Source organism: Homo sapiens, chromosome 10 (genome assembly GCF_000001405.40).
Source record: "Homo sapiens chromosome 10, GRCh38.p14 Primary Assembly".
NCBI classification, from domain to species: Eukaryota; Metazoa; Chordata; class Mammalia; order Primates; family Hominidae; genus Homo; species Homo sapiens.
In genome coordinates, this window is record NC_000010.11 from 87,038,274 (window position 1) to 87,065,963 (window position 27,690).

Consider the following 27,690-nt stretch of genomic DNA (forward strand, 5'->3'; position numbering starts at 1 on the left):
TTTACCACAGCAGCAAAGGGAACACAGCTGGCAGGGTGGGGGCCCCTTCTGGTGTCTGTGCATGTGGTTGCACCAGTAGTGGTGTTGACATGGCAGCAGGGTGCTGGAGAGCGCTCAGGGTAGGGAAGAGTCTGCTGTTCTCTGTGCCTAGTTTCACTTGGAGCAGTGCTGGCAAATGGGTGGGGCACTGGCAGGGGAGGGGTTGGGGCTGGCTGGCTCTGTGCCCACCAAGGCTCTGACTACAGTGGTGGTCAGAAGGGAGAGTGGAGCAGACTGCACTCCTGCTGCAGTACTTGCAGGGCAGGGTGTACACATACATGCAGGCTGGCAGGACAAGATAAGCAGAAGCTGCCCATGCACACACATGTTGGCAAAGCCATGTGCGGTGTTACCGTGGGCCTTGGGGAAGATGCAGTGTAGAAGGAGTGTGTGCACTGGTGTGTGGCCCTGGGAGCTGCCCCGGGGGAGCTCTTCGCATTTCAGGCATGGTCCACCAGCACTGGAGCTATGATGTGGGCCCCTAGGGTGCTCAAGGCTTCCCTGCAATCAGGCATGGCCAGGCTGGACCCTCAGAGAGGCCAGCGAACCAAGGAGTGCTCAGGTAGGACCAGCCCTGCCTGATGAGTAAGACTGCATTGCGAAGTTCAGGCCCAGTGGTTCCCTTAGGGTGAAAGTCTCCTATGGGAGCAAGTTGAGTCTAGGGGTGTGGCTGTCCTTGGCTGTGCTCCACTACAGCTGCTCTCACACCAAACCCTCTGGGTTCATCAGCTGGCTGCTGCCCTGGCTGCTTCTCCAAGCTTCTCTCCCTTGCAACTCTACTGTCCATGATGCTCAAAGGATCTCCTGCCAGGATTCCAGAGGCTGGACATAAGAAGCATTGCTTCTTGCAAGTTCAACTCACCCTTTCCCCCAGTCATTGGGGGCCAGGAATGAGTTCCAGGGTGCAGTAGCCCCATGCAGGCCTCCCAGCTTACTACCCCTTTAGCCTAGCTTCTGTGTCTTCCCTCCATCTACTCTCAGTGCCTTCCCTCTGAAGATCCATTAGTAGTGCACCAGTCAAATCAGTCCCTCGGTGGCAGCTGTTGCACCTGGCTGCATCTAGTTGGCCATCTTAACATGTATATTTCCATAACTAATTTTTGTGTGTTGATTTTGTACCCTGCAATTTTGCTGAATTAAAATTAGCTCTAGTAGGTTTATTTGTTTGTTTGCTTTTTGGCTCTGTCACCCAGGCTGGAGTACAGTGGTGCAATCTTTGGCTCACTATAACCTCCACCTCCTGGCTTAAGTGATCTTCCCACCTCAGCCTTCTGAGTAGCTGGGACTACAGGTGTGAGCCACCACACCTTGCTAGTTTTTGTACTTTTTGTAGAGATGGGGTTTTGCCATGTTGCCCAGGCTGGTCTTGAACTCTTGGGCTCAAGCAACCTGCCTGCATTAACATCCCAAAGTGTTGGGATTACAGGTGTGAGCCACCATGCCTGGCCAGTAGGTTTATGTATGGGTATATGTGTGTGTATGTATTCTCTTTTCTTGTTATAGGTCTATTGAGATTTTCTATTTCTTCTTAAGTCATATTTGGTAATTTGTGTGTTTCTAGGAATCTACATTTTATCTAGATGTCTAATTTTTGGAATATAATTTTTCATAGTATTGTCTTAAAAATCTTTAAAATTTCTGTAAGATCAGTAATAATGTCACCATTTTCTTTCTGATTTTAGTTATTTACTATTCTCTTTTTTTTTCTGAGTCAGTCTAACTAAAGGTTCATCAAATTTGTTTTTTTTTCCCATGAACCAACTTTTTGTTTTGACAATTATTTTTCCTCTATTCTCTATTTCATTCTGCTTTAATCTCTAGTATTTCCTTCCTTCAGCTGGCTGTAGGTTTAGTTAGCTCTTCTTTTACACCTTAGGTCAAGCTTGTCCAACATGCAGCCCAGGATAACTTTGAATGCAGCCCAACACAAATTCATAAACTTTACAAATAACAGAAAACAGTATGAGATTTTCTTGAGGTTTTTTTTTTTTTTTTTTTTTAGTTCATCACCTATTGTTAGGGTTAGTGCATTTTATGTGTGGCCCCGTAGCAGGACGAGCTGCAGACAAAACTACTCAGACACTGAGTTAAAGAAGGAAGGGGTTTATTCGGCTGGGGGCATCAGCAAGACTCCTGTCTCAAGAGCGAAGCTCCTTAAGTGAGCAATTCCTGTCCCTTTTAAGGGCTCACATCTCTAAGGGGGTGCGCATGAGAGGGTCGTGATCGATTGAGCAAGAAGCAGGTGTGTGACTGGGGGCTGCATGCCCTGGCAATTAAGAACAAAACAGGACAGGGATTTTCACAGTGCTTTTCTATACAATGTCTGTAATCTATAGATAACATAACCGATTAGGTCAGGGGTCGATCTTTAACTACCAGGCCCAGGGTGTGGCGCTGGGCTGTCTGCTTGTGGATTTCATTTCTGCCTTTTAGTTTTTTCTCTTTCTTTCTTTGGAGGCAGAAACTGGGCATAAGACAATATGAGGGGTGGTCTCCTCCCTTAGCCCAAGACAATTATTCTTCCAATGTGGCCAGGGAAACCAAAAGGTTAAATACCCCTTAGGTGTAAAGTTAGGTTGTTAATTTGAAATCGTTCCTTTTATCTTTTCTTTTTTTTTTTTTTTTTGAGATGGAGTCTTGCTCTGTCACTAGGTTTGAGTACAGTGTGCGATCTTGGCTCACTGCAACCTCTGTCCCCCGGGTTCAAGTGATTCCCTTGCCTCAGCCTCCTGAGTAGCTGGGAATACAGGTGCGCACCACCATGCCCAGCTAATTTTTTGTATTTTAGTAGAGACGGGGTTTCACCATATTGGCCAGGATGGTCTCGATCTCCTGAACTCATGACCCACCCACCTCGGCCTCCCAAAGTGTCAGGATTATAGGTGTAAACCACCGTGCCCGGTCTTTTTTTTTTTTTTTAATAAAATAAATATGAAACACTTCACGAATTTGCATGTCATCCTTGCACAGGGGCCAGGCTAATCTCTGTATTGTTCCAATTTTAGTGTATGTGCTGATGAAGCAAGCATGAGATTGTCCTTTTTTAATGAAAGTATTTATTATTATTATTATTTTTTGAGATGGAGTCTCGCTCTGTCGCCCAGGCTGGAGTGCAATGGCATGATCTCGGCTCACTGCCAGCTCTGCCTCCTGGGTTCACGCCATTCTCCTGCCTCAGCCTCCGGAGTAACTGGGACTACAGGCGCCCGCCACTGCACCTGGCCAATTTTTTTTTTTTGTATTTTTAGTAGAGATGGGATTTCACTGTGCTAGCCAGGATGGTCGCGATCCACCCGCCTCGGCCTCCCAAAGTGCTGGGATTACAGGCATGAGCCACCGTGACCGTCTGATGTAAGTATTTCCAGCTATAAGTTTCACTGAGTACCCCTGTCACACCATCTCATAAATTTTGGTATCTTGCATTTTATTTTAATTCATCTGAAAGTATTTCAATTTCTCTAGTCATTTCTTCTTTGAGCCACTGGTTAAGAATGTTGTTTAACTTTCACTTACTTGCAAATTCTCCAGGTTTTCCTGTTATTGACTTCTAGCTTCATTACACTTTTGTTGGAAAAGACACTTTGCATAATTTTTTTTTTTTTGAGACAGAGTCTCAGTCTGTTGCTCAAGGTGGAGTGCAGTGGTGTGATCTCGGCTCATTGCAACCTCTGCCTCCCAGATTCAAGCAATTCTCCTAGCTCAACCTTCCAAGTAGCTGGGATTACAGGTGCCTGCCTCCACTCCCAGCTAATTTTTTGTATTTTTTATTAGAGTTGGGGTTTTGCCATGCTGGCCAGGCTGGTTTCGAACCCCTGACCACAGGTCATCCACCCACCTTGGCCTCCCAAAGTGCTGGGATTACAGGCATGAGCCACCAAGCCTGGCCTGTTTTTTTTTTTTTTTTTTTTTTTTAAGACAAGTCCCGCTCTGTCCTGCAGGCTGGAGTGTAGTGGTATGATCTCAGGTCACTGCAGCCTCTGCCTTCCAGGCTCAAGCCATCCTCCTGCCTGAGCCTCCTGAGTAGCTGGGGCTACAGGCGTTCACCACCACTACAGCCGGCTAATTTTTTTATTTTTTATTTTGGTAGAGACAGGGTTTCACCATGTTGCCCAGGCTGGTCTTGAACTCCTGGGCTCAAGTGATCCGCCTGTCTCAGCCTCACAAAGTGCTGGGATTACAGCTGTGAGCCACCACACCTGGCCCTTTGTATAATTTTGACCTTTTAAAATTTATTGAGAATTGTTTTGTGGCCTAACATATGATTTATCATGGGGAATGTTCCATGTGCACTTGAGAGGAATATATATTCTGCTCTTGTTAGATGGATATCTTTCCATATGTCTGTTAGGTCTATTTGGTTTAGTGTGTTGTTCAATTCCTCTAGTTCCTTACTGATTTTGTCTAGATGTTCTATTTACTATTGAAGGTGGGGTATTGACTGGACACAGTAGGTCAGGCCTGTAATCCCAGCACTTTGGGAGGCTGAGGTGGGCGAATTGCTTGAGCTTGGGCATTTGAGACCAGCCTGGGCAACATGATGAAACCCCATCTCCACAAAAAATACACAGATTGGCCGGGTGTGGTGGCGTGTGCCTATAGTTCCAGCTACTGGGGAGGCTGAGGTGGGAGAATCGCTTGAGTCTGGGAGGCAGAGGTCGCAGTGAGCTGTGATAGAGTCACTGCACTCCAGCCTGTGTTGAAGTCTCTGTTATTGTAAAACTATTTCTTCCTTCAATTTTGTTAGACTGTGCATTTTAGAGCCCTTTTTTTTTCTTTTTCAGTTCATACGTATTTATAATTGTTACATCTTCTTGTGATTTGACTCTCTTACCAACATACGATGTCTTTCTGTAACATTTTTTGGCTTAAAATCTATTTTGTCTGGTATTAGTATAGCCACCCCAGCTCTCTTTTGGTTACTATTTGCATGGATTATCTCTTTCCGTCTTTTCATTTTGAAACAATTTGTGTCTTGGGTCTACAGTGAGTATTTTGTAAGTTGCATATTTGGATTGTGTATTACATCATTTAAAAAAAATCCATTCTGCCGATCTTTCCATTGGTCAGATTATTTACATTTAAAGTGATTACTGAAACAAAAAAGTTAATTGACCGGCATGGTGGCTCCCGCCTGGAGGTGAGGCTGCAGTGAGCCATGATCGCACCACTGCTCTTCAGCCTGGGGGACAGAGAGATTGACTCAAAAACAAAAAACAAAAACTTACTTATGGTTGGACTCAGGCCTGTAATCCTATCACTTTGGGATGCTGAGGTGGGCAGATTGCTTGAGCCCAGGCGTTTGAGACCAGTCTGGGCAACATAGCAAGACTCCTGTCTCTACAAAAAATAGAAAAATAAGCTGGGCATGGTGGTGCACACCTGTGGTTCCAGCTACTCAGGAGGCTGAGGTGGGAGGATCAGCTGAGCCTGCGGAGGTCAAGGTTGTAGTGAGCCGTGATTGTGCCACTGCACTCCAGCCTGGGCAACAGAGCTAGACCCCGTCTCAAAAAAACCCCAAACAGGCCGGGTGCAGTGGCTCATGCCTGTGCCTGGCACTTTGGGAGGCCGAGGCAGGTGGGCCACTTGAGGCCAGGAGCTCGAGAGTAGCCTGGCCAATGTAGTGAAACCCTGTCTCTACTAAAAATACAAAAAATTACCTGGCTGTGGTGGTGGGCGCCTGCAATCCCAGCTACTCAGGAGGCTGAGTATCACTTGAACTTGGGAGGCAAAGGCTGCAGTGAGCTGAGAATGAAACACTGCACTCCAGCCTGAGTGACAGAGCAAGACTCTGTCTCAGACAAACCCCAAAAAAGAAAAACAGAAAAACCTATACACCAAAGAACTTACTTACGTCATCATGCTGTTTAGTTTCTACATGAAGTGTTTTGCTCCTCAGTACCTTCTTTTGTGTTTGGTTAATGATTTATCCTGTAATATTTTGATCCTTTCTTAAATTCTTTTCTGTATATTTTAAAAGTTATTTTTTTAGTGGCTACTATGAAGATTTCATTTAACATGCTGAGTTCAAAGTCTAGTTCAGACTGATAGCAACTCAGCTTCAATAGCATACATTAACTCTGCTCCTTTCTCTGTCCCCTACCTATAGTTAACAAATTATGTCTTTAAACAATTAGTGCCTATTAACATAGATCCATATTATTTTATGCATTTTTTTTTTTTTGAGAAGGAGTCTCGCTCTGTCGCCCAGGCTGGAGTGCAGTGGCGCAATCTCGGCTCACTGCAAGTTCCGCCTCCTGGGTTCATGCCATTCTCCTGCCTCAGCCTCCTGAGTAGCTGGGATTACAGGCACCCGCTACCATGCCCAGCTAATTTTTTGTATTTTTAGTAGAGACAGGGTTTCACCATGTTAACCAGGATGGTCTCAATCTCCTGACATCATGATCCACCTGCCTCGGCCTCCCAAAGTGCTGGGATTACAGACTTGAGCCACCGCGCCCGGCCTTTATGCATTTTTTAAATCACAAAGAGGAATAGCATACCCAAAATACAGTAATACTAGCTTTTATATTTAGCGACATAGTTGCATTTACCAGTGCTCTTTATTTCTTCATATAGCTTTGAGTTACTATCTTGTATCCTTTCATTTTAGCCTGAAGGACTCACTTTAGCTTTTTTTTTTGAGCCCGAGTCTTGCTCTGTTGCCCAGGCTGGAGTGCAGTGGTGCAATCTCCACTCACTGCAACCTCTGCCTCCCACATTCAAGTGATTCTCCTGCCTCAGCCTTCCATGTAGCTGGGATTACAGGCACGTGCCATCACACATGGCTAATTTTTGTATTTTTAGTAGAGATAGGGTTTCACCATATTGGCCAGGCTGGCCTCAAACTCCTGACCTCAGGTGATCTACCCACATCAGCCTCCCAAAGTGCTGGTATTACAGGCATGAGCCACTGTGCCTGGCCAAGAACTCTTATATTTTTATTCATTTATTATTTTTGTTTAGTGACAGGTTCTTGCTCTGTCAACCAGGCTGGAGTGCAGTGGTGTGATCAGAGCTCACTGTAACCTCCAACTTCTGGTCTCAAGTGAGCATCATGAGTAGTTGGAACTACAGATGCATACCACCATGGCCAGTTAATTTTTTAAATTTATATTTTGTAGAGATGGGGTCTATGTTGTCCAGGCTAGTCTTAAACTGCTGGCTGCAAGCAATCATCCCGCCTCAGCCTCCTGAATAGCTAGGACCACAGGCCTGAGCTACCCTGTCTGGCTAATTATTTTTATTTTGTATAGATGGGGTCTCCTTACGTCACCCAGGCTGCTTGTGGACTCCTGGCCTCAGGTGATCCCACTTCAGCCTCCCAAAGTGCTGAAATTACAAGCGTGAACCCATGCTGAGCTCCCCCAACCCCCCCTTTTTTTTTTGAGATGGAGTCTTGCTCTGTTGTCCAGGCTGGAGTGCAGTGGCACCATCTCAGCTCACTGCAACTTCCACCTCCCGGACTCAAGCGATTCTTGTGCCTCAGCCTCAGTCAGCTGGGACTACAGGTGCACGCCACCATGCCTAGGTAATTTTTTTGTATTTTTAGTAGAAATGGGGTTTCACCATATTGGCCAGGCTGCTCTCAAACTCCATCCACCTGCCTTGGCCTCCCAAAGTGCTGAGATTACAGGCGTGAGCCACCATGCCTGGCCCCAGCTCCACTTTTGCATTCTTTTTTTTTTCTTCCCTGAGAGTAACATGGGGGAGACTTTAGCATTCTTTATAACACAAGTTTACTAATGATAAACTCCCTTGACTTTTCTGGGACTGTCTTAGTTTCCTTCATTTTTAGAGGTTATTTTTTTTTTTGAAAGATATAGGATTCTTGGTTGACTTTTTGCTGTCAGAACTTTTAATATATCATCTGTCAGTGGGAGAGAGGGGAAGAAGTGTCCTACTGCCTTCTGTACTCCGTGATTTCTGATAAGCAACTGTTAATCTTACTGAAGATCCCTTGTACAGGATGAATCACTTACCTCTTGCTGCTTTCCTGTCTTTAACTTTCTACAATTTGATAATAATGTGCCTCAGTGTGGATCTCTTTTAGTTTATCCTGCTTTGAATTTGTTGAGCATCTTGAATGTGTAGATTCACAACTCCCATCAAATGTGGGATATTTTTGGTCACTATTTTTATTATTTATTTATTTATTTATTTATTTATTTAGAGACGGAGTCTCGCTCTGTTGCCCAGGCTGGAGTGCAGTGGCGGGATCTCGGCTCACTGCAAGCTCCGCCTCCTGGGTTCACACCATTCTCCTGCTTCAGCCTCCCCAGTAGCTGGGACTACAGGCGCCCACCACCTTGCCCACCTGCTAATTTTTGGTATTTTTAGTAAAGATGGGGTTTCACCATGTTAGCCACTGCACCTGGCCTGGTCACTATTTCTTAAAAAAATCTTTCTAGGCCAGGGCACAGTGGCTCACACCTGTAATCCTAGCACTTTGGGAGGCCAAGGTGGGCGGACTGCTTGAGCCTGGGAGTTCAAGACTGGCCTGGGCAACATGGCAAGACCTTGTCTCTCCAAAAATACAGAAATTAGCTGTGCTTGGTGGTGGTATGGGCCTATAGTCCCAGCTACTTGGGAGGCTGAAGGGGGAGGATTGCTTGAGCCTAGGAGGTAGAGGCTGCACTTAGCCATGAGCCGTCAGATCACACCACTGCACTCCAGCCTGGAGGACAGAGCGAGACCGTCTCAAAAAAAAAAAAAACAAAAAACAACAACAAAAAAAAACCATAGGGATATATCTATCTGCATGACTATAGATTAGGCAATGGTTTCTTACATACACCCTAAAGCACACCAACCAGAGGAAAAATTAATTATGTTTTCTCAAGATTAAAAAGGAGACTATCAAGAAAGCACAAAGATAACAGATTGAGAGGAAATATTTGCAAAGTATATGCATGATAAAGGTCAATTATCTAGAATATATATTTCAAAAATTCATTTAGAGATAGGGTCTTGCTATGTTGCCTAGACTAGTGTTGAACTTCTGGGCTCAGGTGATCCTCCTGCCTCAGCCTTCTGAGTAGCTGGGACCATAGGCCTATACTACCACAACTGGCTGTGGAATATGTAAAGCACCCTTACCACTCAATAATGCGGACAAAACCCAATTTAAAAATGAGCAAAGGCTTTAAATAGAATAAAAATGAAACATTTAAGACTGCTGAAAGTGGTTGCCTTGGGGCAGTGGAAAATGGTGAGGCAGGTGGTGTCTGGATTGGAGGGGACGAGCTATTGTGAACAATAAACCTTGTATCACTATTTGGCTCTCTGGATCACGGTTCATAACAAGGGATGAATTTGTTCCACAGGGGACATTTGGCAATCTGAATATATTTGTCATTGTTATAACTGAGGGGGTCTTCCTGACATCTAATGTGTAGAGGCCAGGGATATTACTAAACATCCTACAAGGCAGAGAATTACATAGCCTAAAATGTCAACAGTGCTGAGGTGAAAAACTGAAGTATGTTTGAGGCTGGACGTGGTGGCTCATGCCTATAATACCAACACTTTGGGAGGCTGAAGCAGGTGGATCACCCGAAGTTAGGAGTTCGAGACCAGCCTGGCCAACATGGTGAAACCCCGTCTCTACTAATAATACGAAAATTTGCTGGGCATGGTGGCGCATGCCTGTAATCCCAGCTACTCCGGAGGCTGAAGCAGGAGAATCGCTTGAACCTGGAAGGCGGAGGTTGCGGTAAGCCAAGATCACACCACTGCACTCCAGCCTGGGTGATAGAGTGAGATTTCGTCTCAAAATAAATAAATAAATGAAGTATGTTTGATAAAAATACAAACACAAGTCAATAAAAGTCTGTTAAAAATATTAAAAAATCATAAAAACAATATTTTGTACAATATCCATAGATGTAGTTTTCTTCATGTGCCATGCTTTGACTACCTTAACAAACAGCAGGGCTGGGAAAGCCTGTCAGGGATGTTTAGTGAATATGGAATTTATTTGCTTGTGAGTTAACATGCCAGGCTTTTCTTTTTTTTTGAGACAGTCTCACTCTGTGGCCCAGGCTGGAGTGCAGTGGCGCAATCTCGGCTCACTGCAAGCTCCGCCTCCTGGGTTCACGCCATTCTCCTGCCTCAGCCTCCCAAGTAGCTGGGACTACAGGCGCCCGCCACCACGCCCGGGTAATTTTTTTGTATTTTTAGTAGAGATGGAATTTCACCATGTTAGCCAGGATGGTCTCCATCTCCTGACCTTGTGATCCGCCTGCCTGGGCGTCCCAAAGTGCTGAGATTACAGGCGTGAGCCTCCGTGCTCAGCCATGCCAAGCGTTTTTAAAAAAGTAAATCAGCTCTTTGGCTAGTCATGGAGTAAAAAAAAAAAAAAAAAGGAAAAGAGAAAAAATATAGAAAAAAGGAATGACCAATCCTACTAGTTAGGGTGCCAAAAGCACTGAAAATTCATGCCTTTACTTCTCATCTCCTTAATCAGGGATATTAGAATACACTGGTGTAGAGGCTCATAAAGCACCAGTTAAGTCTTCTTCAGGTGCTATATAAGTCATCTATGGCTATTTCAGAAGCAAGTAACTTGAGTATCGTGTGTGAGTTTTAAAAATAATTGAAAATAGGTCAGGCACAGTGGCTCACCCCTATAATCCCAGCACTTTGGGAGGCCAAGGTGGGTGGATCATGAGGTCAGGAGTTTGAGACCAGCCTGGCCAATATGGTGAAACTCCATCTCTAATCAAAATACGAGAAAATTAGCTGGGCGTGCTGGCACGCATCTGTAGTCCCAGCTGCTAGGAAGGCTAAGGCAGCAGAATTGCTTGAACCCAGGGGGCGGGGGGTTACAGTGAGCCGAGATCACGCTACTGCACTCCAGCCTTGGGGACAGAGCGAGACTCCGTCTCAAAAAAAAAAAAAAAAAAAAAAAAAAAAGAAAATTTCTGTCAAGGTAAAAAGAGTAATTGACCAGATTTTTAAAAACTAAAACCTTCAGGAGCCAAAATTACTGACACTAGTGCTCTCATCTTTATATAGCTAGCACAGGCAATTTAGTTTTCTAATATTACTATCAACAATACTCCTCAACATTAATCTTTAAAAAATTACCATTGGCCAGGCATGGTGGCTCATGCCTGTAATCCTAGTACTTTGGGAGGCCAAGGTGGAAGGATCACTTGAGTCCAGGAGTGTGAGACCAGCCTGGGCAACATAGGGAGACCTCGTGTCTACAAAAAAATAAAAACAATTAGCCAGGTGTCGTACCCATACATGTGGTCCTAGCTACTCAGGAGGCTGAGGTAGAGTAACTGCTTGATCCCAGGAGGTAGAGGATGCAGTGAGCCGTGATTGCACCACCGCACTCCAGCCTGGGTGACAGAGCAAGACACTGTCTCAAAAAACAAAAACCAACCCCCCAACCAAAAAAAAATCAGTATTTCCAATATATAGTCAAAGGCCACCACTAAGACTTATCCCACATTCACATGACTTAAATCTGCTGCCCCACCATTATTCTAACATTCTGGAACTGGTTTTTGTATCACTTTCCCCCTTACACATTTTAGTAGCCCACCTAGAGTGCAGATAGACACCACCATGCTGGGGAAGGGCTCACTATGCCCATATACTGGGGGCCTGTTTATCTGACTGACCCTATGCCAGGAGCATGCAGAGGCAGAACTGTGACATACGGACAAAGACCAAATGAAAGCCAGGCTTCACACTGGCAGTTAAGTAACTGGTGGAATCAAGTCTAGAATCCAGTTCTGATTACAGTTAGTATTCTCTCTTCAATAGTTGTTACATTCTGTGGCTAAATTATTCCACATTAAATCCCCTTTAGTGAAAAACGGCACTAAAAGTTACTTCACTATCAGCTTTCAACATTAGAGCCTCTTTCTCAAGAACAGCTGTTCATATTATTTAATAAAATACAAAATAATTCGAGAATAAAGACTATGCTTTCAGGGATCATTTCTATAGTTCGTTACTCGGGAAGTTTCTCTGAACGTGTAAAGCACCGAACAAAAAAAAAAAAAACAATTCAAGAATAAAATCTGGGCAGCTCACAATAAAGTGGAAGGAAATGTTATACAGGTGGTCGCTATAAACATTTCAGAAATCCAATTGCAGTATTATAACTTATGAAAAGAGAAACTACCACATGTAAAAACACAGAAAAGAAACGTAAGTTTTGGAAAACGTAGACTTTTAATAACTGCTTTTATCACCAGGTTAAGCCATGCAGTTACAAAGTAGTTAGAAATTTCTGAAGGGTGTTAGAGTTAAAAAAAAAAAAAAAGCTGACTCTTACACATATATTATCTAGCACTTCATGGGGACACTACTGTTCAAAAGGCCCTGGCCAAATAACTCCCAAATGAAACACTCAACCCAAGGATGTTTTCAGCCCACTGTTAGTGAAGCTGGGTGCAGAATGCAAAGCCTCTAAAAGGAGAGGATACAAAGTCAGGTGAGTAGGGGCCATTGGCAATGCTCAGAGCCAGCCAGACTCCAAACAGGGAGCCCAAGTGGTTTTTTTCTGGGACACTCTACTTGAATTATTGTTTAATTAGTCAACCATAGATCTTCAAAAGAGAACAATTAGTTAACATGATAAAAAGTGACTGCATTCTTTGGACTGTATCATAATTATAGTAAGCAAATTCTGACAGTTTTAATGAAAATAGCCTCCACCATTTTGCAGGTATGAAGATAACTTAATTATCCACAGGGCTTTTAATGTCTGCTGGACAATACATGAATGATAAGCTATAAATGACATTGTTTTATGATATAAAAATACTAGTTTTTTTCATTTATTATTTCTATAGGCATTCACTGTTTGAGTCAAGGTTAGGCTTGTTAAGTGATTAAAGGCAATTTTATTACAGCAGCATGTACTTATTCTATTCTAAAAGAATAATATTCATAAACAGAAACAGGTTTTATATTTGTTTGCAACCTGCAAAATTGAATTATTTTGCTGATATAAAATACTAAGAACTCACTTGAGGACCATGCCACCTTCTGAAAAGGCCACACACCTACTTCTTAAATGTGTTAAAGTTACAGTGTGTCCCAGACTCATCCAGAAAAAATAAGCAAGCAACTGACTGCTCTTGACTGTTCCTCCCCAGCACTAGCACTGATTGTGTTGGGAAAAGCCACAGAGCAAGGCTGCACAGCCAGATAAAGGAGGCTTTTTATTTAAAGGCAAAATACCAAAATGGCTCTCTGGTGTAGGTGATTTCTACTTTCACACTCAGCTTGTACATGATCCGCTAACCTTAATTTCTTTCTCCTTAACGGGCTGACTTGGATTGACTTGTTGAGAATGGTATCCATTATTAATGAGTCAGGAGAGAAAGGGATTTCTGTGGTTACATGTAAACTTGTGATAGGTCTGCAGAAGTTACATGTGAAGAGGATAGTGAGGAAGTCAGCCATGATCCATCTATGTGAAGGTCACACCAGCTTCATTGTACACTTTGAAGACTTTCTCAATGGCATTAACATAGGCAGCTGTTCTCAGGTCCAATCCCAGGTTATACTTCATGGCTGTGCGCATAATTTGCTGAAATGAAAGAGAAAATGCAGTGAAGATGATCCTGACTCAAGTGGCCAGGCCATAAACACACAAGGCCCAGACAGGCCTGGTCCAAGTTACCCTCTCATTGTTTCAAGGCAGGACTTGGGCAGCCAAAGACAAACTACTCTAGCAGCAGAACCTCTAGGCAGGAGGGCCTAATTCTCTGGACTTAACAATGGGGTGGCTGGGTGCGGTGGCTCACGCCTGTAATCCCAGCACTTTGGGAGGCCGACGTAGGCAGATCACTTGAGCTCAGGAGTTCAAGACCGGACTTGCCAACATGGTAAAACCCTGTCTCTACTAAAAATACAAAAATTAGGCAGGGGTGCGGTTGCTCACACCTGTAATCCCAGCACTTTGGGAGGCTGAGGCAGGTGGATCACTTGAGGTCAGGAGTTCGAGACCAGCCTGACCAATATGGTGAAACCCCATCTCTATTAAAAATACAAAAAATTAACCGGGTGTGGGGGTGGGCGCCTGTAATCCCGGCTACTCGGGAGACTGAGGAAGGAGAATTGCTTGAAGCCAGGAGGCGGTGGTTGCAGTGAGCAGAGATTGCACCATTGCACTCCAGCTGGGTGACAGAGCGAAACTCCATCTCAAAAAACTAAACAAAATGAAAACAAAATCAAAAATTAGTTGGGCATGGTGGCTCATGCCTGTAATCCCAGCTACTCGGGAGGCTAAGGGACAAGAATTGCTTGAACTTGGGAGGTGGAGGTTACAGTGAGCTGAAAGTGCGCCACTGCACTCTAGCCTGGGCAACAGGGCAAAACTCCGTCTCAAAAAAAAAAAAAAAAAAAAAAAAAAGGGAGTGATGAAAATGTTCTAGAATTATAAAGTGGTGATGGCTCAAATATATAATAAAGGATGCCGAATTTAATACTTTGAAAGGATGAATTTATACCACATACACCCTATCTCGATCAAAAATTAACAAGAAAAACAACAGCCCTAAGAAGCACCACCTTCTTCACCAATATCTGCTTATGCTATTTCATCATAAATCCAAGCAGATAGAATCTGAACCCAAGAAGAAATTAGGAAAACTGGACTCAAACTGTGGTTGAGGCCTTAAAGTAGGGATCAAGCAGTCAAAATAAGTTTTGCTTATACCAAATTCTATAGTAAGGTAGACTCCCGTAGCTATAACATAGTGGCACATGGAGCTACAATCCAGTTTGGCTAACTACTCCATACTGGGCTAGCTGCCAACATCATTACCTCCTAAATCAGCCTTATTATTTCTTTCCAAAGCCTCAAAAACATATTTGAAGACTCTAAAAAATTGCTTATCATCTGAGACTGAAAAAACATGTGTTTTGCTACACACAAATGAGGACCATTGAACAGATTGATGTTTTCTATCAGCACATACAGTCTGGCGGCTGAGATAGCATGGTTGAGTTGCACTTCATGTGACTAGCTGGAAGGCAAACAGCATCTGCACACATACCCTGGCAGAACGCTCCATTGTGTATGCCAAGCCAGAGTGCACGATGTCTTTCTCAGATGCACCCTATTAGGGAAAAGAACACAAGTTTAACAAAACCACAAAGACCTGCTTTGTGTCCCTGTATAAGATGACAAAGGATTCTCAAGTCAATATACAACCAGACAGAATTTTTTGTCTTTTAGCTAAGATATGTCATTTCTGCACAGTATCAAAGATACAGTATCTTGATACTTACTGAAGCAGTTGCTTGTTGATCACAATTTATTTTTATTATATTTGACAGCAAACAAATACTCATGAAATAAGATTATAGTACAACAATGAAGACAGTTTTTGGACCTAGAGACATGAGGGCATGGAGTGAGATGAGCACCCTCCACTCATGGAGACGCAGATGCACTGAGCAATGTGTTACACTGTTCATGCCACGGTGCGTTCGCCTCAGCTCCCCAGAGAACAGGGACACCACACAGAACACAGAAAGGAATCTGATTAAACCCCATAGCGGCTTTGGGGTAGAATTCTGTGTATCTATTCAGTAGTGCCAGCAACTTTTAAAGCTGTGTAGATCTCAGCAGCGTTTTAATTTTACTGATGAGGAAACTAAGGACCAGAGAAGATGGCCAAGGTTACAGATAGCTATTTTCAGAGCTGGGATATGACTCAGGGCCTCCACCATCAAGTCAGTTCTCTCTTTCCTAATTTGTTTCTTGGAATGCTTTCTAAAAAATTAAGGACAATTAACTCACTACCACTCTTAAGGTGACATACAGAGCTACAAAACACATATGCCCGATAAAAACTTAAAATGGGTCACTGATATAGTTTGGACACTTACTGAGTACATACTCTTCCAGGTACTAGGGGACATAGTAGAGAATAAAATCAAAATTCTGTTCTCACAGACTTTATATTGTAGTGGGAAGAGAGTGTATATACATGGACTTCAAACCACAAGGCTAAGTGGATCATTGAAGTTTTCAATCTAGATAGAGAAGTGGTTTAGGGACGCAGGCCTTCCAATGTTAGGAGAGTGAAGAGTTGAAGAGATACCAGCAAGAGGCAATTGAGAAGAAATGTTTAGTGAGGTAGGGAGAAAACCAGGAGAATGTGGTATCCTGGAAGCTAAGAGAAGAAAATGTTTCAAGGTGGGAGTGTCAGTTGTAACAAGAACTGCTGATAGGTCAAGCAAGATGAGGACTGAAAAATAGCTACTGGATTTGGCAATGCTGGTGTCACTGGCTGTCTTGACAAGAATAGTCTTGGTGGAGTAGGTTCAAGTAAAGAAGAATTGGAGGCTGAGTATATACAACTCTTCCAAGGAGGTTTGCTCTACAGGAAACAAATGGCAATACTGGAAGGGGAAGTGGGATTAAGATTTATACATTTTTTAAAACAGCATTTGGTAAGCTGAGGGGAATGACTCAGAGGGAAACTGCTGATGTAGGAGAGAGGAGCAGACTTGCTAGAGCAGTGTATCTGAGGAAAAACCATCCAATGCCCACAACAAGAACTGGACCTAAGAAATGAAAGCACAAAGAGCTGATCTATTCGAAGAGAGATGACACAGGACTGGGTACAGGTACCAGGAGCTGGGTAGATGCGGAAGCTCCCAGGCTGCATCAGTTTTATCTGTGAACAGATAGCAGGTCATGAGCTGGAATGCAGGGCAGTGAGAAGAGGAGAAAATGTGATGTAATCACTCAGGAGACGGGGAGAATGAATGAAACACGGAAAAGCAGTATGACTGCTGGGCAGCTCTGAGCGCCTACTTGAGGTTAGTGGTCAGGGTGTGAACTGCCAGCAGGGCCTCCTACAGGGTAGAGGCACGGGATTTAATCAGGGATTTAATCAGGGCTGCTGGGATTTAATCAGGGCTTAGGTGTTAACAAAGGAGTATGACAAAGGAAACAAGACTGGGGAGTGACTGTAATGATGGAGCACGGAATTTAAGTTAGATAAGGAGGGAAGTGAGGGCACTGGGGGGATGAGGGACAGTGGAAACATGGCAGGGTCATGATGTGGGTCCTGATAGTGCCAAACAGGGGCAGGGGGAAACTAGAGGGAGAGAGCTTGAGAAAACTTTTATTTTTTTAACTGACAAGGCATATGCTGGGCAGTGGGGTGACCAAAGGGAGGGGTGAACAGCCCTCTGGCAGGGACAGTAGCAGCGCAAGTCCTTCCGATGCACTGCTAGCCACTTGGGATGGATGTTATGTACGAAACAGTGGCACACAGGAGACTTTCAGAGAGAGCCACAGAACTGCAGTGACACTTAAGCAGGGAGGAGATCAGTGTATTCCAGATAAAAGGACCAGAACAAAGACATCACTCTAGGAAATAGGAAGTTTACTGAGGGGAACGGTTAGTACCTAGAATGGGTAAAGCATTTTTTCTTTCTTTACAACAAAATCTTTAACTTTTTCCCATGTTGCAATATAGTCTCAGAACTGTTTTCCATCACTGAATATTTCATAAGGAGATATATTGACGGCCGGGCGCGGTGGCTCACGCCTGTAATCCCAGCACTTTGGGAGGCCGAGGCGGGTGGATCACGAGGTCAGGGGTTTGAGACCAGCCTGACCAACAAGGTGAAACCCCGTCTGTACTAAAAATACAAAAAAATTAGCTGGGTGTGGTGGCGGGCGCCTGTAATCCCAGCTACTCAGGAGGCTAAGGCAGGAGAATTGCTTGAACCTGGGAGGCAGAGGTTGCAGTGAGCCAAAATCGCACCACTGCACTCCAGCCTGGGTGACAGATCGAGACTCTGTCTCAAAAAAAAAAAAAAAAAAAAAAAAACCAAAAAAAAAGAAGATATAATTTACCCATTGTAATATATTCTTAAACTATGAGTGAATATTACCTAAGATGTATTATAAGATATAAGTCAGCCATTTCCCTGCTCCTAAACTTTAAATAAAACCAAATTTAAAAACTGTTTACACCGTTTCTTTTTTTTTTTTTTTTTGAGATGGAGTTTCGCTCTTGTTGCCCAGGCTGGAGTGCAGCGGTGCATTTCTTGGCTCACTCCAACCTCTGCCTCCTGGGTTCAAGCGATTCTCCTGCCTCAGCCTCCCGAGTAGCTGGGACTACAGGTGCGTGCCACCATGCCTGGCTAATTTTTTGTATTTTTAGTAGAGACGGAGTTTCACCATGTTGGCCAGGCTGGTCTTGAACTCCTGAACTCAGGTGAGCCACCTGCCTTGGCCTCCCAAAGTGCTGGGATTATAGGCGTGAGCCACCGCACCTGGCCTACACATAGTTTCAATAACATCATCGTGCATGGAGTGGTTCCTCCTCTTTTGAATTATTTTCTTAGGATAAATTCCCAGAGGGGAGATTGTCATAGCACCAAAGGGCAGGAACACTTTAATAACTTCACATTTTCCAAAGAGCTGCACCAATCTACACCGTCACTAGAATAAAGGTACAACTGTTTCACCACATATATGGAGAACATAAGATCCATTGTTTTTGTTAATACATTAAAAAAAAAAAACTCTTTTTCAATTTGTATTTCTTTAACAATGAGGTTAAATTTTTCCCCCAGGCTTATGTGTTATGGACTTTTGTTTTTCCTGTCTTCCATCATTTACTGGTAAAGAAGTTTCCCTCCCTCCATCCCTCCTTTCTTTTTTTTGGCGGGGGGAGGGGGGTGGCGGCGGCGGGAACGGAGTATCTCTCTGTTGCTCAGGCTAGAGTGCAGTGGTGCAATCTCGGCTAACTGCAACCTCCACCTCCCGGGTTCAAGTGATTCTCCTGCCTTAGCCTCCCAAGTAGCTGGGACTATAGGCGTGTAGCACCACGCCTGGCTAATTTTTGTATTTTTAGTAGAGACGGGGTCACCATGTTGGCCAGGATGGTGTCGATGACTTGACTTCGTGATCCACCCGCCTTGACCTCCCAAAGTGCTGGGATTACAGGCGTGTGCCACCATGCCTGGCCTCTTGTTTCTTTCTTTATTTTTGTAGAGATGGGGACTCACTATGTTCCCCAGGTTGGTCTCAAACTCTTGGACTCCCATATAGTTCAATCTAATGCTTGCTTTTCAATTCTTCCTATTTCTCTGAAGCTTAAAATAATTAAAATACATAATAATCCTTCACTGTTAAAACACGTGCGTGAAAAATACCAAATTTATTTATTTTATATTTGTTAGTAGTCAGTAGGATTCTTACTCCAGTTTTAGAATGTAATGAAAAGGAAAGGTACAAAACACACATGTCACGCACTTACTGTCAAGCTAATTACAAAGACTATGCCGCAGATGAAATCCATCTAACCAGCTCTGTCTGAAGGAAAGAGCAGGGAGCATGTGTGAAGTACAACTGTGGGGTCACCACACTCACCGATATCCTGTCTTGGAACTCTGCCGTGGGTACAATGGGAATAGTTCCACCATGCTTTCCAAATTTTCTTTCTAAACTCTCTTGAACAGACACTACAAAAAAATAACAAGAGATCAAGATATTGCTAACAGAAAAAAAAAAAAAAAAGTAGAATCAAAAGTAGTCCCAAACTATAACTGTAACCCAAAAACTTATACAGACAGAGTCGTGGTCTGTCACCCAGGCTGGAGTGTAGAGGCGTGATCTCAGCTCACTGCAAACTCTGCCTCCCGGGTTCACGCCATTCTCCTGCCTCAGCCTTGCGAGTAGCTGGGACTACAGGTGCGCGCCACCACGCCCAGCTAATTTTTTGTATTTTTAGTAGAGACGGGGTTTCACCGTGTTAGCCAGGATGGTCTCGACCTCCTGACCTCGTGATTCATCTGCCTTGGCCTCCCAAAGTGCTGGGATTACAGGCGTGAGCCACTGCGCCTGGCCTTATACAGAGTTTTAATGACATAAAAGGGTTAATCATTTAAAACTCAGTCAGGAAGGAATAAAACACATTGCCAATTTCCTATATAAATGTGAATTTAGGTCACTGCTCTGTTTCCATAACACCCATTACCAGGGTTTTTCCTTGGCTCTATTAAAAAGAAAACGCTGGGGGAAAAAGAAAAGGAAATAGATGGAACACTTCACCCAGATTCTCACAGTGGGCTGAGTACAGAAGCTCAGTAGGAGGTCTTGGTCTTATTTCAACTAGATGAGAAATTCTACTCTTAACTGTGGAGCTTACTCTAGTCAAAGAAAAACAAGTATTCTCATCAGGAGTCTCAAAAACAATTCTTGACACTAGATAGGCCTTTACTAAGAGCAACCAGAGACAGAAATTAGTATCGACAGTGGAGTTTTAAAATCACACTTAAAAAAATATTATTGGCTGGGCACAGTGGCTCACGCCTGTAATCCCAGCACTTTGGGAGGCTGAGGCAGGCGGATCATGAGGTCAGGAGATCAAGGCTATCCTGGCCAACATGGTGAAACCCCGTCTCTATTAAAAATACAAAAATTAGCCGGGCGTGGCGGTGAGTGCCTGTAGCCCCAGCTACTTGGGAGGGTGAGGCAGGAGAATTGCTTGAACCTGGGAGGCGGAGGCTACAGTAAGCCGAGTTCGTGCCACTGCACTCCAGCCTCGGCGACGGAGCGAGACTCCCTCTCAAAAAAAGAAAAAAAAAATGTAGATTATATTCTGTGAATATTACATCACAGAATAAAACTCTGGATATAATATATGGGAGAGTTAATATCCAGAAAGACATTGTGCATTTTTGGTCTAAGTTTCATGAGACAAAATATTATTTTCTTTTCTGAGACTCAATTCTTTCCCAAAGGGATCAGTTCTCTTAAGTGGACCTTTTTACAGCCTTTCAGCTGGCTCAAAAGATGAGTTTTGGCGAACAAGATTATCGATACTCACTGAGCAAGTGGTAGTTAGAATCCCTTTCATATTTGAAGGTCAAACGGCCATAGCTGACATGATTTAGATTCTTCAGCCACTCAAAGTAAGATACTGTCACTCCTCCAGCATTCAAGTAGAGATCCTATGCACAAAAATAAGACAAAGAAATTAGAAGATGATGGTTTTCGTAAAAGCTGAAAATGAACCTAAGACCTTAATTTCAATACCAAGGTAGACTGGACTTTAAATATCGCAAATATATTTTAGCCAGTATCAGGAATTTCACACTTAATTAACACTCCTTCCCATCCCACCCAATTCCATCTAAGGCTTTTTCTATTTAGGAAAAAAAAAAAATCATTTTTTGGCTTATTAATCAAGGAAAGTTAATAATCTTTGGTTGGAGCCTCTTCTCTACCAGAAGTTAGTTCTCAGACTAAATGGCTTGCCCACCAACCAGTTGGACTGGACTGTCCACAGGGCCTCTCAGAAGACAGGATTCTTTCTCCTATTACCTAAGGGTAGCCCATTTCAGTTACATTAAATGTCTTAAGTGCTTTCAGCAAAGGGGGTTCTTTAAAATATATTCCAAGCCCACATTAATTTCTAGTAACTTTTTGGTGTAGACTCATTTTTACTTGCTAAAAAACCTGAGCACGTGTTCCTCATATTAGTTTTCTGAGTAAAGCTGGAAAGGGCACTTGAAATGCATAAGGTTAGGAATCATATAGAAAATCTTAAGAGCTTTAGTTAGAATAGTGTTTCTAACACAGTACACATTTATATAACCAGACTCTTAGAAGGCTAAAGACATTCAGTAAAGAGCCTGAAATTGGAATAAATGTTTCGATCAAAGTGAAAATTAACAGGCTTAGAATTAACCATGCTTCTACTATATTTTCTCAAAAGTGAAAAAGATGAATTCACTAGAGCTTGGAGACTAATAATTCCTCTCTTCCTCCAAATTCCTTGCAAAAGACTATTATGATTCTAAGTACATATAAAGCCTAATAAATATAGATGACTTACTGGAATAACCATAATGTTTCTCTCCAGGAAGATCTTGTCAGCTTCTGGAGTTGTTGGCCCATTGGCACCTTCAGCAATGATCTGCAAGAGAGTCAGGAACATAGAGAAATGCGAACACCACCGTCAAATCCCCTCCACTGAGGGCAAGAGATGTGCATATATGAACAAGGGGCTGTGGGGAGAAGCACAGTTTCAGTTAAAGTTAAATAGAGGTTATTTTTCTCTGCCAAGTGTATAAAACTACCTTTCACTTTTCTATTTATCTAGGTTTTTTTTTTGTTTGCTTGTTTTTTTTTTTTACAGGAGTGTCAGGCAGATGCGTTTGTTTTGGTAATGGTTGCACAACTCTGTGCCGGTAGCTAAAAGCCATTAAATTATGTACCTTAAATGGGGGAACTGTATGGTATGTGCAGTATGTGCCAATAAAGCTGCTAAAAAGAAAGAGAAAACTCAATCAGACTCTTCTATGACCCCCCTAACGTCATTCACATTGATAATGTTGGTTCTGGTTTCTATAATGTTGTCACCTTGGCTTTGACTCTGGGTGCGTTGGATTTGGTCAACTGCTTCTCACTGGCAGCTGGGATCAGTATGTCACAGTCGGCCTCCAAGATGCTTCCTTCATAGGGCTTTGCCTTGGGGAAGCCCAGAATGGACCCATGTTGCTGCCATTGATTGAAAATCACAATTAATAGCTGCACCAGAGTTTTAAATATTTATATTTAGTGTCTATGCTATAAAAATGTATTAATACCAATTTGAAGTCTTCCAGTTCCTTTGGGTCAATACCATCTGGATTCCATATACTCCCATCAGACTCACCAACAGCAATACATTTAGCACCAAAACGATGTAAATATCTCATAGAGTGTAGGCCCACATTACCAAATCCCTGTGAAGAACAATTACCCATAACACAAAAATTAAAGTCCTGGTATAGACAGCAAGAGTCATATTTTGACCAATGTAAATCCATACTCTGTTTATTTAGAAGCAATTCTCAAAATTCTTTTGCCAAAAGAAACAATGTACTAACTGGTTTCTCTTCAACAATAAAATTCTCTGTTTAAGAATGTGATGAGCGGGCATGGTGGCTCACGCTTGTAATTCCAGCACTTTGGGAGGCTGAGGCAGGTGGATCACTTGAGGTCAGGAGTTCGAGATCAGCCATGGCCAACATGGTGAAACCCCGTCTCTACTAAAAATACAAAAATTAGGCATGGGGTCCGTGCCTGTAATCCCAGCTACTTGGGAGAATGAGGTAGGAGAATCACTTGAACCTGGGAGGTGGAGGTTGCAGTGAGCCGAGACTGCACTCCAGCCTGGGCAATAGGGTGAGACTCCATCTCAATCAATCAATAAATGGCAGTGGTGTTAAGTACACCACCAGGTCCTCAGTCCTTGATGATCAGATGTCCTATGTTGTGAAAAGGGATGTCACTAATTTGGAGAAATACAATTTTTTTTTTTTTTTGAGACCGAGTCTCATTCTCTCACACAGGCTGGAGTGCAATGGCACAATCTTGGCTCACTGCAGCCTCTGCCTCCCGGGTTCAAGTGAGTCTCCTGCCTTAGTCTCCTGAGTAGTTGGGATTACAGGTGCCGCCATCATGCCCAGCTAATTTTTCTTTCTTTTTTTTTGAGACAGAGTCTGGCTCTGTCACCCAGGCTGGAGTGCAGTGGCGCAATCTCGGCTCACTGCAAGCTCCACCTCCCGGGTTCAAGTGATTCTCCTGCGTCAGCCTCCAGAGTAGCTGGGACTACAGGCGTGTACCACCACACCCTGCTAATTTTCCTATTTTTAGCGGAGACCGGGTTTCACCATGTTGGCCAGGATGGTCTTGATCTCTTGACCTCGTGATCTGCCCACCTTGGCCTCCCAAAGTGATGGGATTACAGGCGTGAGCCACCACGCCCGGCTTAATTTTTCTACTTTTAGTAGAGACAGGGTTTCACCATGTTGGCCAGGCTGGTCTCGAACTCCTGGCCTCAAGTGATCCACCCGTCTTGGCCTCCCAAAGTGCTGGGAATACAGGCATGAGCCACTGTGTCCAGCCACCACTTCTATTTTCAAGTAATTTCAACTTAATTAAGATTCTCCTAAGTAAAATACATGTTAACACATGAAACAAATTTGGGTCAGTGTGTAAACCTTTCTATATACTTACAAAACTTAGAAAATTATGTTAAGAGACTTGCCCTTCTAGCTATAATTTCAAGTTTGAATACTAACCAATATTTTGGTTGAATTTGGTGATAGTTTGGTTGAAGTTGGTAACAGTTTCACATGTACTTGAGAGATACTTAAATCAGTTCTAGTTACATGAATCATACCAAGGTTCAAAAAACAAAATATCTATTACTCTGAAAACCACCACTCTAAAATTTAAGAGATTTGAGATAACTTAATTTTAAAATTACAATTCTAAAAACATTGAAAACTTTACTTAATGTCTATCAGTTATTAAGGAAACTTTTTTTGTTTTTGTTTTTACCTGAACAACAAATGTTTTATCTCCAAACCCTGGTGTCATTCCTAAAATGCTCATGTAAGAAGCTTCATTGATGAAATTTTCAATCCCATGGAAGACACCACGGCCAGTAGCAGAGATGCGTCCATGGATTCCCCCTTGGCTGATGGGTTTACCAGTAACACAGGCGTGTGCATTAATATCCTGTAAGAGGGGGTAATTGAAAGAATGAAATGTCAAGTCCAATTTCTCTGTTGAAGGAACATAATGAATTAAAGTCAAAGCACATTCTCATTTAATCAAAAATATGCTAATTAGGAGTGTGTGTATGAATGTATTTAAGGTATACTTTTACCAATAGAGACAAGACTCACTTTTTCAGCTTTCTGTTCCTAGAAAATACAATAAAATATACTATATTTTCTGTTTTTTTTTTTGTTTGTTTGTTTGTTTGTTTTTGAGACGGAGTTTCACTCTTGTTGCTCAGGCTGGAGTGCAATGGTGAGATCTTGGCTCATCGCAACCTCCACCTCCCAGGTTCAAGCGATTCTCCTGCCTCAGCCTCCTGAGTAGCTGGTATTCCAGGCACGTGCCACCACGCCCGGCTAATTTTGTGTTTTTAGTAGAGATGGGGTTTCTCCATGTTGGTCAGGCTGGTCTCAAACTCCTGACCTCAAGTGATCTCCCTGCCTTGGCCTCCCAAAGTGCTAGAATTACAAGCGTGAGCCACCACGCCCGGCAAAGTAGACCATATTTTCTGACAGAAAAAACAAGAGTGTAGGGATTGAACATCAAGTAAGTACAAATAACATCACAAAAGTAGAGCTAGCTCAGCCTAAAGCTATCATTCCTTCAACAAGTATTTAAGCACTACTAAATCAAGGTACATACACATCCCATTCATGAGTGTCTTAAAATCTACTATAAGACTTGAGCATGTCACCAAAACAGAGCCTGAGACAGGAAGAGGCTTTACAATTGTCTTGGATGGGAAGACTCAATGTTGTATTCTGCCACTTTTGAAAAAGGAAGTTTTTAATATAACTTGATACTTAATATAACATGACATTCAAGTTCATCTAAGAGTAGAGTAACGAAAGTATTTAATGAAGTATTTTTAAAAAGGTATGTGTGGGTAAGAGTCCTGTGCTTCTGTGTGAGCAGAGTATCTTTGGTAGCAGTGGTTAGCTCTGCAAAGTGGAGATGGGGGTTAACAGTCTTCACCATCCATCTTTCTGTCCTCTTTCTTTGTCTTTTTTTTTTTTGAGACGGAGTCTCGCTCTGTCACCCAGGCTGGAGTGCAGTGGCGCAATTTCGGCTCACTGCAAGCTCCATCTCCCGGGTTCACGCCATTCTCCTGCCTCAGCCTCCCGATAGCTGGGACTACAGGCACCCACCATCACGCCCGGCTAATTTTTTTGTATTTTTAGTAGAGATGGGGTATTTAGTAGAGTAGAGTATTTTTAGTAGAGAGTAACATCCTGTGTTAGTCAGGATGGTCTCGATCTCCTGACCTCGTGATCCACCCGCCTCGGCCTCCCAAAGTGCTGGGATTACAGGCGTGAGCCACCGCGCCTGGCCTGTCCTCTTTCAATTGAAGATGTGTGTATATTCTTGTTCAGAAACAGAAACAGGTGTAATTAGAAAAAAGAAGAATTGGGCTAAGTAGGGCTTCCCTTCCAAGACATCAACTATACTATAAGCACGGCCACGAGAACACTGCAGAGTAAACTCATCGGTGGAGCAGGAGAAACTAGAGACAGTCTTATTTTGTATAGGCAATCAATATAAAATGAAAATTCATATAAAATTTTAAGTCAGTGGCAAAAGTATAAAATAATAAATTTGTTGAAGCAATTTGCTTTCCATGTAAACAAAATAAAATGCCCTACTTCACACCAAACCCCTAACTCCCAACATATCCCTAACATTCCAGCTGGCTGAATTAAAAAGTGATCTGTTCTTTATCTGTATTGTTTAAATATTTTTACACAGAGAACTTAGAATTATATTATTTGTGTAATTACCAACAAAAAGGATGAAAGCAAGGAAGAAAAACTCAGTCTAGTAGAGTGATTAATAGAATTAGTAGTTTTCCCACAGTTTGCTTTCATGAATAATTAACACTTATGAATACAGAAATGCAAACCGAGTGCCAAATGCTTTTAAACAGTGAGAATGCAAATGCTGGAGCTGAAGGAAATACTGTCTGGGGTCAGGCCTGGCGCCAACTGCCAGGCTCCCCAGCATACGTAATGGTCCTGAAAGCCCAGAGAAGAATACATTCTCCCACCTACACTGCACTTCTAGGTGGGGCTAGGACAAAGAGGGCGGCACGTTTCAGTTCACATCTAGAAATGAGTAACAAAAACAACTGTGTCCTTCCTTTAGGGCTTGATTTTAGATTTCTTATCACTTAAAGAGGGAAAACTGTTCACCAGTATAGTTGCTTCACCTGAGTCCAGCCTGGTCAACATGGTGAAACACCGTCTCTACTAAAAATACAAAAAAATTAGCTGGGCATGGTGGCAGGCACCTGTAATCCCAGCTACTTGGGAGGCTGAGGCAGGAGAATTGCTTGAACCCGGGAGGCGGAGGTTGCGGTGACCTGAGATCGGGTGACAGAGTGAGACTCCGTCTCAAAAAAAAAAAAAAAAAAAAAAAAAAATACCACACCCAGAGCTCATTGCTAAATGAGCTCCTGATCTCAGGTGATCCACCTGCTTCCGCCTCCCAAAGTGCTGGGATTACAGGCGTGAGCCACTATGCCCAGCTGGTCTCTTGTTCTTTTTAAGCAAGACACTATATTGAATAGTGCAAACCAATGGGCAGTATGTTATTTGTAGCTCATTCTCAGTGCTAACAGCAAGAGAAAGTCCTGTGAAGCACGGCCCCTTGAACTATACTGGTGAACAGTTTTCCTTCAAGTGATAAGAAATCTAAAATCAAGGGCTAAGGGAAGGATGCATAAAAAGGTGACAGGTGGAAAACTGTCCTTTTGGGAAGGGCAGTTGAAACCACAATTATTTGAAGGGTCTATATCGTTCCTGTTTTATTTCAGGGGGTTGTATAATTTACCTGATGTAATACCTACAGATATTTATTTTCTGATACTTACTAAGGGCTATGTACAGTTCTAGGTGCATTAGATTATTATTCATCTAATGCTCATGAGTCTCACAAAGTAGGTACTATTACTACTGTCATTTTGCATAGGAGGAAATGGAGGCACAGAGACTCCCAAGTCACAGCACTGATGGGTGAAGGTGCCAGGGTTGGACTTCAGGTGGTCTGCCCATGTTCCCAGCCACAGCATGACATCACTTCAGGAA

The 27,690-nt window shown here is 43.0% G+C and overlaps 1 protein-coding gene and 1 pseudogene across 9 annotated transcripts in view, besides 1 other annotated feature; both read right to left on the minus strand.

The window, feature by feature from the left end:
- Positions 2,965-3,068, minus strand: RNU6-529P (RNA, U6 small nuclear 529, pseudogene; annotated as a pseudogene).
- GLUD1 (glutamate dehydrogenase 1) overlaps positions 11,929-27,690 on the minus strand; it is a 44,642-nt gene continuing 28,880 nt past the window's right edge. For all 9 annotated transcript variants that reach the window (NM_005271.5, NM_001318906.2, NM_001318904.2 and 6 more), the window contains 8 exons: positions 24,383-24,562; positions 22,642-22,779; positions 22,415-22,552; positions 21,888-21,968; positions 20,877-21,000; positions 19,418-19,509; positions 15,069-15,131; positions 11,929-13,597 (listed from right to left, as the gene is read on the minus strand). In NM_005271.5, coding sequence (NP_005262.1) covers positions 13,478-13,597; positions 15,069-15,131; positions 19,418-19,509; positions 20,877-21,000; positions 21,888-21,968; positions 22,415-22,552; positions 22,642-22,779; positions 24,383-24,562 — 936 coding nt within the window. In that variant the 3' untranslated portion in view covers positions 11,929-13,477. The remainder of the gene's footprint in view (positions 13,598-15,068; positions 15,132-19,417; positions 19,510-20,876; positions 21,001-21,887; positions 21,969-22,414; positions 22,553-22,641; positions 22,780-24,382; positions 24,563-27,690) is intronic.
- Positions 16,703-16,832: an enhancer, noted in NCBI's record as "active region_3703". NCBI's record gives its function as "activates an Ori minimal core promoter by ATAC-STARR-seq in GM12878 lymphoblastoid cells {active_cell/tissue: GM12878}" and the evidence as "EXISTENCE:reporter gene assay evidence [ECO:0000049][PMID:35858748]".